This window comes from Homo sapiens, chromosome 1, assembly GCF_000001405.40.
Source record: "Homo sapiens chromosome 1, GRCh38.p14 Primary Assembly".
NCBI classification, from domain to species: domain Eukaryota; kingdom Metazoa; phylum Chordata; class Mammalia; order Primates; family Hominidae; genus Homo; species Homo sapiens.
Genome location: NC_000001.11, coordinates 161,807,016 through 161,826,372, shown reverse-complemented (window position 1 = coordinate 161,826,372; position 19,357 = coordinate 161,807,016). Strand labels below are relative to the sequence as shown.

The 19,357-nt window shown below is 37.2% G+C and overlaps 1 protein-coding gene across 6 annotated transcripts in view; it reads right to left on the bottom strand.

The window, feature by feature from the left end:
- The window catches only part of ATF6 (activating transcription factor 6), a 197,751-nt gene that overhangs the window by 137,698 nt on the left and 40,696 nt on the right, over window positions 1-19,357 (bottom strand). For all 6 annotated transcript variants that reach the window (NM_001437597.1, XM_011509309.1, NM_007348.4 and 3 more), the window contains exons 8-9: window positions 6,555-6,740; window positions 5,212-5,303 (exon numbers count right to left, since the gene is read on the bottom strand). In NM_001437597.1, the coding sequence (NP_001424526.1) occupies window positions 5,212-5,303; window positions 6,555-6,740 (278 nt within the window). The remainder of the gene's footprint in view (window positions 1-5,211; window positions 5,304-6,554; window positions 6,741-19,357) is intronic.

The following is a 19,357-nucleotide window of genomic DNA, read 5'->3' as shown; positions in this document are numbered from 1 at the left end:
CCCCACCTTTACTTCAGCAGCTGTGAAGATCATTAATTCATTTTTAAAAATTTTTTGTCTGGTGGGTGGGGGCACTCAAAAAATTTTTTTTGTTCCAGTCTTTTCTTTCCTAAAATTCTATTGATTCATGAGGGCTTCCACAATGAGATGTCCCCCCTAACCCCACTGTCACTTCCTGTAGCATAATCTAATCCTCTTTATTCCTTCATCGAGTACTACTGCATAAAGCCTCCCATGATTGCCACTAGCAGCGTTACTGGTTACTTCTATGTTCCCTCAAGAATATGCCTGTGAATTTGCGATATAATAAGAAATAATATATTTGGTTTTTATTCTGGTTCCTGTCACAGAGCTCCTAAAACCCTTGGAATTTCCTGAGTGATAGGGGGTAAGAAGAGCATCTTTTGTTATCCGTAATAAGCCCCTTCCAGCTGGACCTGAGTTTATGCTAATGAGGTGACTCTTGGATGATGGAGGCTGATTGCCAGAGAAACCAACCACATAATTAGTGGGTTGGGATTTTCAGTCCCATCCCTCAACCTCCAAGTAGGGGAGAGGGGGCTGGAGTTTAAGTGCAATCACCAATGGCCAATGGTTTAATCAATCACACCTACCTAATGAAGCTCCATAAAAACCCCTAACAATGGAATTTGGAGAGCTTCCAGGTTAGCAAACACAAGGAGGTACTAGGAGGGTGGTGCACCTGGAGAGGGCATGAAAGCTCTGCACTCTTCCCCTATACCTTACCCTATGCGTCTCTCCCATTTAGCTTGCCCCACATATCCTTTATAATAAAACCAGTAATAGTAAATAGAGTGTTTTCCTGAGTTCTGTGAGCCATTCTAGAAAATTATCAAACCTCAAGAGGGAATTGTGGGAACCCTCAACTTATAGCCACTTAGTCAGAAGTTACAGGTCACAACCTGGGACTTGCAACTGGTGACTGAAGTCAGGGGCAGTCTTTGGATACTCAGCCCTTAACCTGTGGGAGCCTGTGCTAGCTCCAGGTAGTGTCAGAAATGACTTAAATTGGCCAGATATAATGGCTCACACCTGTAATCCCAGCACTTCGGAAGGCCAAGGAAGGAGAATCATTTGAACTTAGGAGTTCAAGACCAGCCTGAGCAACTTTGCCAGGTGTGGTGAGGTGCACCTGTAGTCCCAGCTACTTAGGAGACTGAGGATCGGGGGATTGCTTAAGCCTGGAAGATGGAGGCTGCAGTGAGCTACGATCACACCACTGCACTCCAGCCTGGGCAACAGAGCAAGACCCTGTCTCAATAAAAAATATTTTACAATTAAAATTTAAAAAAGAATTGAGTCAAATTGTAGGACATCCAGTTGGTGTCCAGAGAATTGGAGAATTGCTCAGTGTAGAAAATCCACATATCTGGTGTCAGAAGTGTGTAAACAAAAAGTTTTTCATTTTTTTAATGCCTATATGTTTATATGACATCCATATAATTCTTTCTCATACAACAGTTGTTTACATATCTGATTCTCTTACTAGACTGTACTTTTATTCATATTTGCATCCTTGATTCCTTGCTCAGTACCTGGCAAACATTAAGTGCTCTATAAATATTTGCTGTATGTCTGACTAAATAAATAAGTACCACGTATACCAGATAAGAAATGAGGAACTAAAAGAACACACAGTTTTTTGAGAAATAGTTTATGAACATATATAATTCCTACTAATTGGGTGAGGGAGACATTCATTCATACTACAAGTATTTATTGAGTAACTACTATGTGCCAGCCACTGTTCTAAGCACTGGAAAACAAAAGAGATAAAAATACCTCCAGGGAGAGAAAGAAAATAAATAAGTTACATAGCATACTTGAAGGGGAGAGGTGCTATGTAGAAAAATGAAGAAAGAAAGGCGATAGGGAATGCAATGGCAGGAGCTGGGATAGACATTTAGAAAAGGTAGTCCAGGAAAGCCTCACAGGGGTGGCATTTGAGCTTTTTTTTTTTTTTTTAATTTTGACCAAAAAAACTTGATGTTTTTTAATCACTTTTTTAAAACTTTTATTTGAAGCTCAGGGGTACATGGTATTTGAGCTTAACACCTGACAGAAAGAATCTCTGAGGGAAGGGCACTGCCGGCAGTGGGAATGAAAGTGAAGACCATGAAGTGCTAGCAGGCTTAGAGTGTTTGAGGAAGAGCACACAGGCCAATGTGACAGGCTAACAATAACATTTTTGATCCACAAGATAGGCAAGAATTTTAAAAATACAATATCCAGTGTTAGGAAATGCGAGAAAATGGATACTCCTCTCTCCTGCTAGTGGGAATGTAAACGGATACAGTCTTTTTGGAAGGCAATTTGGCAAACTCTATCACAATTTCAGATAATCGTAACCTCTAGCTCTAGTCTAGATTCTATCATACACATACAGACACATAAATATATGGAAATACATTTTATGTACACATATCAACAAGTAACTGGAAATACCCTAGCTGCCTATCAAAAGATGGTTAAATAAATTACGGCAGCAGTTGGGCAAGTGTGCACTGGGGTTTTAAGCAGTCCAAGGAACTCTGGGGATCCTAAAAGTCTTTCAAAGTCTGCAAAGTTCTCCCTTTTCCAACTGCATACCGATGTGAGTCTAAATTTTCTTCATTTATTTCAACCCAAACAATATATCATAACAGATTACATGAAAAAACAGATAATCCTGCCAGATCCTGTTAAGTCGGACATCAAAGATTTTTATGAAACTATTGATTTGACCTAAAGAAGCAACAATAGGTCTCAAGTATCCCCATGTGTTTTAGAAGCCTGAAGTCAGTGAGATAAAACCCAACATTAAGAATTTGAAGGAAAGTAACTTGGAGGAAAGAATGTAAAGAAAATACTGAGTAGTCTGGCCACAGCATAATAATAATTAATTTGGTTTTCTGGTTTTCAAAATTTTGGATTGCAACAAAAGGAAATTTCAATATGCTATTTCAATTTTTAGTAGCAAATAAATGTGTATATAGAGAAAAACTAAAACTGATGTATTTGAGCTTCCCCCCAAAAAAAATATTTTTACAAAACTATAAAGTAGTACCACTCTTCTGTATCTCACTAAATTTTTGGAGGTTTGGGAGATATAATTATTCTTCATTAACATGTTATTTATGTTAACATGTAAAGTAATGGTTTACGGTTTATTATTTTTAAATGAATTAAAAATTTTTTATTTTTAAAGTTTTAATTTCTCATATAATAAATATCAGTATATATAAACCACAAAATCAAAAATTATTTGGGATCCTTGGTAACTTTTAAGGGTACAAAGGGGTTCCCAAGACCTAAAGAGAATTGCTAAATTATGGCACATTTACACTACAAAAAACTATGTAGTATTAAAAGAGAATAATGTATTCACATATTTTAAAGAAAGCACAATTTGTATATAATTGTTTCATGTAAAACCAAAATTTTTAAACTAAATACATATAAACACAAAGACACAACACAAATGTGGGAATAGATGTTTATATATTCTATATGAAATGTTCTTCCTGTATCTTACCTAAATAATTCCTAATCTTCTTTTAGATGTTAACACAATCACCTCTTTCTCAGAGAAACCTTGCCTTACTTCCCTAACTAGGTCAAGTGACCCTATTATGTGGCCTCATGATATCATGTACCTTTCCTTCATGGCACCTAACATTGTTACAATTTTGCATTTATTTGTGTGATCATTTTGATTAGTATATGTCACCTATATTAGATTATAAATTTCATGAGAGCAAGGGGTTGATCATATTATTTTCTCAAATTTCCTATATGTTTGAAAATCTTCATAAAAAATGTTTTTTTTTAAAAAAGAGATCATTCAATTTTAACTCCTTTCAATTTCTCAACCAATTTTAATACAGACTTCATGCCTACCCCTACTAAATCTGCTTTCCAAGATTACAACTGACCTGATAATTGCCAAATTCAGCTTTCTACATCTCCCAAGCTCTCAGCAGCATGTGATACCACTGCCCAAGACCTGCTTGAAGCTCTTTTTACTTTGGCTTCAAAAAGCTACTTTCTTTCAGTTCTGCCCCTAATATGCTGTGAGTTTCTTTTCCCAAGGCTATCTACTATTCATACTGGTGTCCCCCAGATTCTTGTTACTTTCCTTCCTCTACTTGTTCTCCTTGGATAATCTCATCTACACCACTAACATTATCTGTCTGTCAGTCTACCTACCTATCTATAATGTTAATTCTCAATATCTAGTCAGTGCCACAAACTTCCTATACTTAAAATAAAAACTATTGTCTTTCTTCATAAAACTATCCATCTGTCTATGTTTGCTTCCTCCGATGACAGCACCACCATTCGGTCCCTCAAGGTAGAAATTTTTGAATTATCCTTAACTTCCCTCTTTTCTTCCTCATGTCCCACATTATACCAGTTAACAAATCCCACAAAAGCTACATCAGAGAGGTACCCTAAGATTGCTCATCCTTTTTATAACCATAGTGTAAGTTCAGACTCTCATTTATTACCTGAAACACCTCAATAGTCTTCTAATGCTTTCTCTGCCAATAGTTTCTCCTCACTGCAGTCTATACTCAATACAACACACAAAGTCCTCTTCCTAATATGCAAAGCTGATTATGTTACCCTCCACCTAAAAGCTAGGGATGCCTCATTGTACACAGCAGCACCTATACTTCTAACCATATATCTAGCCTCAGGCACACTCCCCACATATACAAGATACACTGAACTTTTCACTTTTTTATGAACATGTCATGCCATTTCATAACTGTGCCTTTAAACATGCTGTTCCCTTTGCCTGGCATGCCTTTCTCATACTTTGCACATGGCAAACTGATATTACAGTTCAATGTTCAGCTTCCTTCGTAGGTATCTCCCTTATAACTCAGTCACTCAACAAAAAATGTATCGAGTACCCATCAATACGACAAGAACCTTCACCTCAAGGAACTCGTACTCTATATTATGTTAGGACTCATTCACACTGTTATTATTATGTTCATCACATTATACCATAGTCATCCTTCTACTTGTCTCTCCTCCCAGCTGGATCATGAGATCTTTGAAGGCATGGCTCCTGTCTCATTACTCTTTACACATCTTGAAAAACAAATCATTTTTTCTCTAGTTTATGACAAAAGCTAAAGAATAATGAGAATTTAAGTTTTTAGCATTAGTGTCCAAAATAAATATCTATTCACTTACCTCATAGGTCCATAGTTCAGTATTATAAATGCCAATACTATCATCACACAGACAACTCTTCGCTTTGGACTAGGGACTTTAAGCCTCTGGTTCTAAAGGAAATGACCACATTAAATACAATTAAACTAACATCGATTTCAGAAAAAGCAACGCTTAAGATTAGAATTTTCCTCTTTACCGGTTACGTAAATCTCTTGTCTTACAAATACCTTGTCTTATTTAAAAAAAAAAAAAAAATCAAAGGTGAGGAAATAACACTTTTCAAGACTAGAGCAGAGACTTCCAGGTTCCCTTTTCCAGCAGGGAGAGAAAAGGAGAGAAGCAGAAGAGAAAAAAACACAGCAGCCACTCCATTGCAGTTGCCTCTTCACCCAAGAGGAAAGAATTCAATATATATATGTATATATATTTTTTTGAGACGGAGTGTCACTTTGTCGCCAAGCTGGAGTGCAGTGGCATCATCTCGGATCACCGCAATCTCCGCCTCCCAGGTTCAAGCGATTCTGCTGCCTCAGCCTCCCGAGTAGCTGGGATTACAGGTGTGCACTACACCCAGCTAACTTTTGTATTTTTAGTAGAGATGGGGTTTCACTATGTTGGCCAGGATGGTCTTGATCTCCTGACCTTGTGATCCGCCTGCCTCAGCGTCCCAAAGTGCTGGAATTACAGGCGTGAGCCACCACGCCCGACCAGAATTCAACATTTTTTATATTTTTACGGATCCCCAAAGAATTTTGAGTCACTTCTATAGTTTGCCTCCCTAACCTTTTAAATCATTGTTTTCAGTAAAATATAGGAGTATTCCCATGTACTCAGGGCCAAGAGAAAAAGAGTGTAAGAAGCCCCATTCAGTAGGCATCTATATGGTTCAGCACTGCAGTGAGAAATTCTGAAAACAGCAAATTTCCCGAATAGAACTGAGGAGATTAAAACCTCTTGGAGTCAGCATAGTAACAGAATGCAAAAATCACATTAGTTGTTAGGTGGACTGAGAAAAAATAAAAACACTTTTATATTGTTTTCTTTTTTAAAAGGGAAAATATGGCAGGGCACTTTAGAAGCCTCAGTGTGATTCACTTAGCCAGAAAAGAGGGTGCTAAGGCAATGAATGAGGAGAAACCTAGGAAAAGGAGACAACTTTTCTATGTAGATTGGGGAGTACAATTCAAAGGGTCCCCTTCAAATGCTTTATCCTTACTGCAAATGTTTTAGGACTTATTATACCCTCCTTTTCCTAGCACTATTATTTTACATAATTTAATTTAAAATGTAAAAGTTTCTCTATTTATTAATCCAGAGGATACTTTAGCCCATCTCGACTCAGCCGTATTACTAACACTTACCTCTGACACAACTTCATCCAGCTGCCGCTTCAGTGTTCCATTTTCTTTCTTCAGTTGCTCGTTTTCTGAGAGGGCAGCCTTTAATCTCGCCTCTAACCCTAGCATATATTCTTTCTTCTTCTTGCGAGACTGACAAGCGGATTCTCGATTTTTTATCATACGTTGCTGTCTCCTTAGCACAGCAATCTAGAAAAAGTTATAATGAATCAGAATACCCTGGTTTTAAAATCAGATCAAAATAGATCAGAATATACTCATTTTTACAATTATTTTAACCAACAATTTTTTCAAAGCATAGGTTACTAGTTGTTTCAAAAGAGGTTTGAAAACACACTGCTCAAACTAAATAAGTTAAAATCAAATGATTAAATAAGGCCTTCTAAAACCCAAATGTTAAATAATTTCTTCTTATGTTTTCTAAGGCTCGTTTATTAATCTTCCAATTTTCCCCTTAGAAACTCCCTCAGAAAGTATCTTTAAATATATATGCATATATACATACATCTTAAATCTGTATCTCTGGCCCTTAAATGGCTATGCCCCAGAACCATATATTCAATTAATTATAAGGCCACTTCTTACAGTTATTACCACTTCAAATTCATTATGTGCAAACTGAACTATCTCCCTCTAACTAGATTGTTTAAAAATCTATCCATTTTCTATCAATAGTAACTATTATTTTACTTTATTCACTATATTCAGTCCTTCTCAATCCCTCATTCACTCATTGAATATGTTAAAAGTATATACTAATGACCAAATTTATTCCAGTGAAAATGTGTCTCAGTAATTACTTTCTCTCTATTCCCTCTTCCACTCTCCTAATACAGGCACTCATTAACTCATCCCTATACTACTGCAACAGACTCCTATTTCAATTGTGTTCCATCTCATCCTGTCCACCATTTCTAAGATAACTTCTCCTAAGAAAATATTTTTATCTTACTACTCAATTGCAAAAACAAGCTAGTCATGTATCCCTGCTACCCATCTTTTCTTTTAAGGTCTTCCATATTGTGACCTCCCACGGCCTAACCAGACCTTCTGCCCTAAATCTACAGCTATTCAAGCCACACTCCTCCAATCTTATCATTTAAGGCTACTTCATAATCTCCATACATGTCTAACATGTTTCCTTATTCGCATTGTTTATTTCCATTTGGAATGCTATCTCCTCCACTAACCTAATTCCAAGGTCCATTTGAACTCAATTATTCTAACCCACCCTGATTTTTTATTTTCTCTGAACATCTTATACCCTTAGAATTTGGAGGATATACTGGAACACTCTAATGCTCTCAATTGTTTCAAGAATGTTAACTCTCTCTCTCTTTCCCCACCTAGATTTTATACCTTGAAAGCCAAACCACATCTGATCCTACTTTTTTGTTTAATACCAACAATATCTACTACAACAGAAACTTACTGAGCGAAATTATTTTTGTTATGTTTTCTAAATTAAGTTATGAAGCCTATTGTTATACATTAGTCTAATTTCTTTGGGGAAGTGAGAGAGGTGGCAAAATTAAGTGCATAAAAAGCGCCAACCTATATTACATTGATTAGTATGAGTACACAGATGGTTGAATTACTAATTTCTATATATTTTGCAATGGACTTTAAAAAGTAAACACTCTAGAGTGTTCAATAACTCTTACTGAGACCAGTAAATAAAGTTAAAGAATGTAATCTATTTCCTTTTTTTTTTTTTTTTTGAGATGGAGTCTTGCTCTGTTGCCCAGGCTGGAGTACGGTGGGGAGATCTCGGCCCGCTGCAAGCTCCGCCTCCCAGGTTCACACCATTCTCCCTCCTCAGCCTCCCGAGTAGCTGGGACTACAGGTGCCCACCACCACGCCTGGCTAATTTTGTTTGTGTATTTTTGGTAGAGACAGGGTTTCACCGTGTTAGCCAGGATGGTCTCAATCTCCTGACCTCCTGATCCGCCCGCCTCGGCCTCCCAAAGTGCTGGGATTACAAGTGTGAGCCACCGTGCCAGCCTGTAATCTATTTCTTTTAAAACAACAACACAATTCCCACCCTGATACTACATTTCCTAGAAAGAGAAGTATGCCAAAGCCAACCAAGTGATCTGCCAACACCAAATATTTTCAACAACCTTTAAATCAGAACCCACAAGGAAATGTTACATGAAATGTCAAAAAGGGTGTTTTTTTATTTAAACTACAAAAAGGCTGATTTTTGTGAAACCATCATCTGTAAAAATTTCCCTGAAGAATAACTATCTCACTCTTAAGTAATGCTAAACACGCACATGCACACACACTCACACACACACACACGCACGCACATACAAAGAGCAATGGCAAAGCCATGATGGATTGATTATTCACCAAATGCAAACTATTCTCCGGACATTGCCACTTTGTTCAGTCTACTTTTATTTTTAGTGTTCTTCATGTTACTTAGAATGCCAGTGTCCATAATTAATACTAGAGTGCTGAAGTACACAGAACACTGAACAGGGACATAAAAGTGAAAGTTCCCAGATGGAAGAGTTTATACTAAAAGTTAGACAAAAGGCAACCTTACTTTAAAGGCTAATTAATCTGTGGAATTTAGAGGGGCTTACAGATGGCATACCATTTAATAAATTTCAAACAAGGATTAGGCATTTCTATAAACAATAAAAGCACCTGAATATTACACAGCATTCAAGTTTCAAAGGCTGTCAATCCACGTGCCCCATACTAAAAAAATGAAAACCATCTGTGGTCAAATATTCATTTCTTCCCATAGAAACAGATACACTATAATAGTTCTGAAAATAAATATTCAATACTATCAATAAATACAGAGGATAAAGACAGTAAAAATAAATGAAACCCACGGCTATCACCAAACACAGGGCTCCAATGTTTTATCTCAGCAAGCCATCTTTAGCTATCTGAATATAAAATATTTAAATTATTCAATACTTCCTAGGCAAAAAAAATATGATTTGTAGGCTAAACATACACACATTGTGGTGTTTGGTATTTTTTTAAGTGGGGGGAAGTGGGTATTTTCCTATATAAGAAAAAAAGGATTACACTGTATGTAATTCTGTTTGGTAAACTGCTTTTGCACATACAGTGTATCAAAATGACCTTTGACATGCAATAATGGCAGCACAGATTTTCAATTATCTTGATGTTTCATAATATATTCAATTAATCTCCTCTTGTTGAAATTACTATAGTTTTCAAGATTCTTTAAAATAAGCCTCATCATTTAATCCACTGTTAAGACAGTAGAAGGGCCAAGGCTAGAACTTAGGTCAGTTGACTCCAAGTCCAGTGATACTTACACAACAGCTTCAAACTGCTTTTAAATACCAAATAGAGAGGCTTGCATCACAGCATGGAACTCTAACCTCAGAGAACTGTGTGGTTACTTTAATTATGTGCCTGTCTGAAAACAGAGACTTGTGGAACTGCTTGTATCTGGAAGCCTAATCTCTCTGTCAGCAATCTGAAAACATAAAATCAATACTCTGACCCATTAGCCAATTGACACATCTCTCTTATGGGCATATCAGATGATTTCATACAGACTGAAATAAGCGAACAGCTGGCCAGGTCCTGCTTCTGATCATCCTGCCTCCAGACAACTCTCCCACCAGGCATCTTGCCTTGGAAAAAGTAAAAAGGACAAAAGAAAAAACTCTACAGCTGCAAAATAGTTTCCTTTGAGTGCCACTGCACTATAAAATGTAGTATTTCACTTAGTAAACACTTATTTGACTGTAAGAAAGACTTATATAAAAGGAAAACTTTCACAAATGGACAAGTTCCTTTGAAGGTTGAATCAATGTAAGAGTCAAAGTTTCAAGTACGTCCACATTTTGTTTTTAGTTTAATTTAATTTAATTTTTTGAGAAAGAATCTCACTCTGTCACCCAGGCTGGAGTGCAGTGGCACAATTGCAGCTTACTGCAGCCTCAACCTCACAGGTTCAACAGATCCTCCAGCCTCAGGCTCCCCAGTAGCTGGGACTACAGGTGCATGCTACCGTGCCTGGCTAGTTTATTTTTTTGTAGAGATAGGATCTCTCTATGTTGCCCAGGCTGGTCTTGAACTCCTGGGCTCAAACAATCCTCCTGCTTCAGCCTCTCAAAGTGCTGGCCCAGCTTGTTTTAATTTAATTATCAATTTAATTATCAATCAATAAGGTTTTTAAAACTAAAAACCTTATTGATTGATAAACACTGTAAGTTATTATAGTCTCTTTTTATTAATAAAATTGACTAAAGCCTTGTTTCTGTGATGTTGCTAAGAAATGAGCTCAATGACCATAAATTAAATTAGATATAATACTAGATAGGAGCCAGTAGTGGTGGCTCACACCTGTAATCCCAACACTTTGGTAGGTCGAGGCAGGAGGAACGCTTGAGGCCAGGAGTTTGAGAACAGCCTGGGAAACATAGGAAGACCTCGTCTCTGCTAAAATTAAAAAATTAGCTGGGCATCGTGGTGCACAATTGTAGTCCTAGCTACCCTAGAGGCTGAGGCAGGAGGATCACTTGAGCTCAGGAGGTTGAGGCTGCAGTGAGCCATGATCGCATCACTGTTCTCCAGCCTGGGTGACAGAGTAAGAGCCTATCTCAAAAAAAAAAAAAAAAAAAAAAAAATTAAAATGGGATTTTTATGCTAAGAAATACATTCGAATATCTCATGTAAACTCAAGTCAGATCAAGTATTGATAACCTATGGATGAATCACATGGTAATCATTGACTTGCTGCACATCTTTCTAACAGTTCTTATTCTCATTTGGCTGAATCTTGCCCTCTAAACTGATAGATAAAGTGGAAGCCATTACTGATTAACCTCTTCACTGTAACTGACCAAAAATAAAAATACAATCTTTCAATTAAATAAAAATTACATAACATACATTATTGCATATGTATTGCAGTAAACATATTTATAGATACATTCTTAAAAAACACACATAGTTAAAATCATTGGCAAATTTAATTTGTGGCAATCCTACTTTAAATATTCAAATACATTAAAAAACTTAATTTGATTTTTGTTAAGAATCTTACGTACACTTATTTTTCTCATTAAATTGTTTAAAGCAGAAAAAAAGAGAAAATTTAGACTTTCACTATCTCTACTCTTCTCAATCTCATGACAGTCAAAATTTTATTTTACTCTTTCTATTAAGTTTTGTGTGTATGTATGCATATAACCAGCTCCCATTTGCCAAAAATTAAAGAAGCTTCATACTGGCAACCTGAACCATTTATTTGGCAGATTATCAAGGAAATAATCTTCATCCTGCAAACTATTTCCTTCTATTTTTTAAAATGAAGAATGCCTTCTGATATGTAGTATAGTTTCCAGAATGAGAACAGATAATAGACAAAGTCCCTGCTAGGTTATAGGATGGGGAAACCCTACCAATCTCATCTTCTGAATGAAGATAAAGAACAACCAAAAGAGAGGTAAAAGCAGAAGTATGCACCAGATGCTCTCAGCAAAGCCACACCATGGGCACAGCCTCTTGAAGAATAGAGGGACCCAAGTCCTGAACACAGGGATCTTCAAAGGAGCCTCAAAATGGTTTCCTGTTATTTCAGTTAATGACTCCACTGCTTCACGTGTCTTCAGAAATACTTGATGGAGGCCGGGCGCGGTGGCTCACGCCTGTAATCCCAGCACTTTGGGAGGCCAAGGCGGGCGGATCACCTGAGGTCAGGAGTTCGAGACCAGCCTCAACATGGAAAAAACCCATCTCTACTAAAAATACAAAAAAATTAGCTGGGAGTGGTGGTGCATGCCTGTAATCCCAGCTACTCGGGAGGCTGAGGCAGGAGAATTGCTTGAACCTGGGAGGCAGAGGTTGTGGTGAGCCGAGATCACACCATTGCACTCCAGCCTGGGCAACAAAAGTGAAACTCCATCTCAAAAAAAAAAAAAGAAAGAAAAGAAATACTTGATGCAACTAAATAAAAGTAATAGTAATTTAAGTCATTAAATGAAAATACAAAATTGGAAGTTAGGAGTCCTTAATTCTTGGCCCAGCATTGCAATGAATTAATTGGAAAATCTAAAAATAAAAATAAAAATAAATCACGTCACCTTGTAGGGTGTATTTACATATTAGTAAAAAGAGAGAGTTAGACCAGAATAGTGCTTATGACATTATTATAACCCAATATCAGGTTTATCAATTTAGTAAATCACCACAGCCTTCAAAAACAATTTGACAGAAAAGCACAGGACAGAATAAAAGAAAAAGGGTGCATTATATTTAGTAAGAGTTGTTTCATGAGATTGAGTATAAGAGAGAAAGAGAGGTTAAATACATTTCTTACTGTGGACTGTGTACAAAAAAGTTTAAAGCCACTTCATTAGTCCTCTAAAGGTCTCATCCAATCCAAAAACAAAATAATTCTGGGGCTGATGCTAAATAGATACACTTAATTTAATTGGCACAACGACATAGCACAATAATGACTACTATATAATGAAATATGGATCTGATTATTTTTGCTACAGGTTTCATTTGATACCACCAAATTATTCAAATAAGGTCAATCTTTCTAAACCTTTGTCCCTCATGACTTAAAACTATCTGCTACCTTAATTTTTAAAAATTAAATCTTAAAACTATCTTAATTTTTATAAATTAAGAAAAAACATTTGTAAAGGGAGAAAAAAGGTATCAGCAAGTTTCGAGACTTGGGTAATTTGTTCTTTTTTTTTCTTTTTTCTTTTCCCATAAAGTTGTAAGCAAAGGACGTGGGTAATTTAAAGTCTGAGCTGCATCAGGACTACCTTGAAAGTAAAGGCTCTATTAATGGAGCACAGAGTAATGATGACACCACTGGATTAGGAGAAGACCAGTTATAATTGAGCTAGGCTTGAATCCTAACTCAATTATAAGTGGTCAAATGATTGGGGTGAGAATCAACTGTGTAACAGACATGAAGGTTCTCTGTAAGCTATAATGTACCATACAAATATGGCTTTCAGGAAAATTATGTGACACACACACACACACACACACACACACACACAGAGGAGGCAAAATTATTACTTCCATCAACAATGTACCTCACAGCTGCTCTGATATACCATGCAACTAAAGCAATATTGAAAATACCTGCTCCTGGCCGGGCGCGGTGGCTCACGCCTGTGATCCCAGCACTTTGGGAGGCCGAGGCGGGTGGATCACGAGGTCAGGAGATCGAGACCATCCCGGCTAAAAACGGTGAAACCCCGTCTCTACTAAAAATACAAAAATTAGCCGGGCGTAGTGGCGGGCGCCTGTAGTCCCAGCTACTTGGGAGGCTGAGGCAGGAGAATGGCGTGAACCCGGGAGGCGGAGCTTGCAGTGAGCCGAGATCCCGCCACTGCACTCCAGCCTGGGCGACAGAGCGAGACTCCGTCTCAAAAAAAAAAAAAAAAAAAAAAAAAAAAAAAAAAAAAAAGAAAATACCTGCTCCCATTCCAGCTCCCATTTTCAGATTTTAAGTTTTAAAATTAAAACACACACACACACACACACACACAAAGCATGAAATGTTATTTAATCACTAAAGAAGCAGAAAAAGAGCCTAAAACTTAACATTCCTCTGAGCACTCTGTCTGTTCCTTACTCTGTATTCCTCAGGGCCCTGATTCATTTCAAAGAGCTGTTATAAGATTTAAAGAGAGTATTTACAAGTTATGCACTTAGAAAAGTGCCTGGCACATAGTACTTTATTAATATTAGCCATCTTAGCAATATGACATTTGTTGAATCACTTAGCTAGTTGATTCCTTCAGTAGTAAAATGGGAATAAATAATGTCCCCTTCACAAAGACTTTGTGAAAATCCAGTAAATATTTGGTCGACTGACAGAATTGTAATATTGACAGGTGATTGAACTATTTTATTAATGTAAATTATTGAAGTTAATAAAAGAATGTACCTAGTCTTAGAAAATGCACACTGAAAAAATTAGGGGTAAAATACTGTGAGGTATGTAACTTACCCTAAAATAGTTCAGGAAAAAAATTGTGTGTGTATATGGATGGATGGATGGATGGATGGATGGATGGTTGGATGGTGGGTGGATGGGTGGGTGGATGGATGGATGGATAGTGGATGGATGGATGGATGGATGGATAGTGGATGGATGGATGGATGGGTAGGTAGGTAGATAAAGAATAAGCAAGCAAATTGGGTAAAATGTTAACAACAGGTGAATCTGGCTGAAGAATACCTGGGTGTTCTCTGTACTATTTTTTGTTTTTGTACTTTTTGAAATTTAAAATTATAACTAAATATAAAGTTTAACATGTGTACCCATACAATAACCAAAGTTTAACATGTGTCAGCACACACACACAACCGCAGTGTATACACACTGGGAAGTTATAAGAAGCCATAAGACATTTTCCTTTAGATCTCATACTCAAGGGAGGTAAGAGCCACAGAAAAGTCTAACCATAACACTTTAAATTCTTGAATATCATTCTCGAACTACCTGTAACCAGCCACAAGATCTCTCCTGCTAACAATTAATATTCTTTCACATAGTTATAAAATAGTAATCTTTCAGAGGGAATATCCCTTCAGGAATACACAGCCATTGATACTTTCATTTTTAAAATTTACCACTCTTCTTCGTGAATTATCTATTCGTATATATTGTCCATTGATGGTTGAATTAATTTGCATTTTTCTCACTGATTTATACTCTATATATTAAAAATCGTTCTTAAAAGACTGTGAAAATGTACATGAGTGTTCAAAGTGGCATTACTCATAACAGACAAAAAGTGGAGACAAGCCAAATGTCTACCAACTGATGAATGGATTATCAAAAATGTGGTATATCCATATAATAGAATATTATTCAGTCATAAAAAAGAATAAACACTGACACATGCTTCAACATGGCTGAAGCTTGAAAAAAATATGGTAAGTGAAAGACGCCATACACAAAAGGGCACATAGTGTATGATTCCACTCATATGAAATGTCTGGGACAACTCCACACAGAAAACAGATTAAATGGCTACCAGGGGCTGCAGGGAGTGAGAAATGAGGAAAGACTATGGCTAATGACTATGGGGTTTTCTTTTTAGGGTGACAAAAATATTCTGGAATTAGACAGCAGTGATGGTACCACTAAATTGTACAGTTCAAAAGGGTGATCCTTATGTAATGTGCATTTTATCTCAATGAAGCTGTTAAAAAAAAAAAGACAACAAAAGAGCTTATGGACTCCCCAGACAAATGCACTTGCACATTGCTAACAACTATATGAGGGATGAGGTGAGGTGGGGTAAAGGGGTGTGATATGATCTAGATTTGTGTCTCTACCCAAATCTCATGTCGAATTGTAATCCCCAATGTTGGGGGAGGAGCCTGGTGAAAGGTGATTCGATCATGGAGGCAGATTTCCACCTTGCTGTTCTCATGATAGTAAGTTCTCATAAGATCTGGTTGTTTAAAAGTGTGTAGCACTTCCCTCTTTTCTCTCTTTCTCCTGCTCTAGCCATGTAAGATGTGCCAGCTTCCCCCTCACCCACAGTCATGATTGTAAGTTTCCTGAGGCTTCCCCAGCCATGTTTCCTGTACAGCCTGCAGAACCATGAGACAATTAAACCTCTTTTCTTTATAAATCACTCAGTTTCAGGTATTTCTTTATAGAAGTGTGAGAACTGACTAATATAGGATGCTGATTATGGAAACACTGAAACCCACCCAAGGACTCCATTAAGCCCTGTGACTGACTTCTCAATTAGAACTACCTCAATGGAGGACCATTTGGTAAAACCTATCAAAACTGAACAAGTACATACCTTCTGGCCCAGCAAATCCAATTCTAAAAATTTCTCCCACAAAATTTTTGCAATCTACTCATCTGACAAAGGGCTAATATCCAGAATCTACAAAGAACTCAAATTTACAAGAAAAAAACAACCCCATCAAAAAGTGGGCGAAAGATATGAACAGACACTTCTCAAAAGAAGACATTTATGCAGCCAACAGACACATGAAAAAATGCTCATCATCACTGGCCATCAGAGAAATGCAAATCAAAACCACAATGAGATACCATCTCACACCAGTTAGAATGGCAATCATTACAAAGTCAGGAAACAGGCAATCATTACAAAGTAGTGAAACAGGAACACTTTTACACTGTTAGTAGGACTGTAAACTAGTTCAACCATTGTGGAAGACAGTGTGGCAATTCCTCAAGGATCTAGAACTAGAAATACCATTTGACCCAACCATCCCATTACTGGGTATATACCCAAAGGATTATAAATCATGCTGCTATAAAGACACATGCACACTTATGTTTATTGCAGCACTATTCACAATAGCAAAGACTTGGAACCAACCCAAATGTCCATGAATGACAGACTGGATTAAAAAAATGTGGCACATATACACCATGGAATACTATGCAGCCATAAAAAAGGATAAGTTCATGTCCTTTGTAGGGACATGGATGAAGCTGGAAACCATCATTCTCAGCAAACTACCACAAGGACAAAAAACCGAACACACATGTTCTCACTCATAGGTGGGAATTGAACAATGAGAACACTTGGACACAGGAAGGGGAACATCACACACCAGGGCCTGTCGTGGGGTTGGGGGAGGTGGGAGGGATAGCATTAGGAGATATACCTAATGTAAATCACGAGTTAATGGGTGCAACACACCAACATGGCACATATATACATATGTAACAAACCTGCACGTTGTGCACATGTACCCTAGAACTTAAAGTATAATAAAAATAAAATAAAATTTCTCCCATAGATATATTTGTATATGAACAAAATGAAATAAGTACCAAGTTATTCAATGAAGAAATGTTTATAATGAAAAGGACTGCAAAATTTTACAATAATTATGGCACCCCTATGAAGTAGGTTACTATGTAGCCATTAAAATGCAGCTATTAAAAGAATAAGAAAAAGACCAGGCATGGTGGCTTATGCCTGTAATCTCAGCACTTTGGGAGGCCACTGCAGGAGGATCATTTGAGGCCAGGAGCTCAAGACCACCCTGTGCAATACAACAAGACCCCCATCTCTACAAAAACAAAAAAAAAAATCAAAATTTAGCCAGGTGGCACACATCTAGCTACTCAGGAGCCTGAGGCAGGAGGATTGCTTAAGCCCAGATATTTAAGGCAATAGTGAGCTATGATCATGCCACTGCACACCAGCCTAGGCAACAGAGCAACAGACTGTCTTTAAAAAAATAAATAAATAAATAAAAATTTAAAAAAGGAATGAGAAAAGTTTTTAGTACTGATCTGAACAGATCTCTAAGGTATAAGTGAGAAAAGCAAGTTGCAGGATGACATGTACAGTATGCTACCTTTTCTATGAAATAGGTCAATAAATAAAACTATAAGTACTTACATATTAAAGAACTGTCTCCAGAAGAATGCACACAAAACTAGTAAGAATGACTACCAGACAAGGAAACTGATTTGCAAGAAAGTCTCTGGGGTATAAAAGGACTGTCTCCCTAGAATGAGTCCCCACAAGGTTTTGAGAAGGGAAATTAGAGAAAGGAGAGAGAAGTATTTCATTGTTTATTAAGATAAAAATCAGAATCCTTAAAAATAATTATTTATTATTCTTATAAAGATGCCAAACTGCTGGGCGCAGTGGCTCATGCCTATAATCCCAGCACTTTGGGAGGCCGAGGCAGGTGGATCACTTGAGGCCAGGAGTTTGAGAACAGCCTGGCCAAACTGGTGAAACCCCATCTCTACTAAAAATACAAAAATTAGCTGGGTGTGGTGGCACATAGCTGTAGTCCCAGCTACTCAGGAGGCTGAGGCAGGAGAATCGCTTGAACCTGGAAGGTGGAGGTTGCAGTGAGCCAAGAGCGTGCCATTGTACTCCAGCCTGGGCAACAGAGCAAGACTTTGTCTCAAAAAAAAAAAAAAAAAAAAAAAAAAAAAAAAGATGACAAACTAAAAAGTACAAAAAGTACAGAATAAAGAATGCTGAGGTTGCCACAACATAAATTTATCCTAATGCAATGCATCAGGAAGGAAAAATAAACAACAACAAAAAAAAGCTGTTCACTTCCCCTTCCAAAGCTACTGTAACCTCAAATGAAACTGAACTGCTATTCAAGATAAATTTTTAGAAGCTCCAAACCTACATTTAAAGAGATACTGCAAATATTTAAACAAAGCATATTTTCTTTTATTTGCAGAGTCCCTGGTAGCAGCAAAGCCACAATGCAGTCAGCACAGAAGTAATTTTTTTACTAAACCCTGGATAACTCCAGCTCTCCAAATCCTTCCTATTGGATTTGTTCTGATAGATTCCTCTACTTTGCAGCCTAAAGAAATATCATGATCTCAACTTGTTTGTTGTTAGAAGTTATTAAGAAGTGCCTATTCATTATTTATCTTCTGAGATCTAAGCTAGCCACATAATTTAAGGAGATTCAGCTCACATTTTGACCTAACCAGCGTCCTATTCTTGGATGTTACAGATAAGCAACTTCAACGTCTATTGAAGTTTTGCTTTTTTTCTGAAATAGAACATAGGCAGTCTCTGTTTTTCTGAGTTGCTATGCATTGCAAATAGATTATTATAGACATATTTTTCTTGAGAAACACACCTCCAGGGAGTCTCTTATGAGTTTTGCTCCTACACGTCTTATTGGGTATGCAAAGAATGCAAGGTCCGGACCACTCTTTTCCCAGGCCATTCTCAAGGTTCAGTTTCCAACAAGCAACCTTGAAGGATGAGATAAAATCTCCCTCTAGACAATGAGGAGGCTTGCTTTCTGCTTGCTAT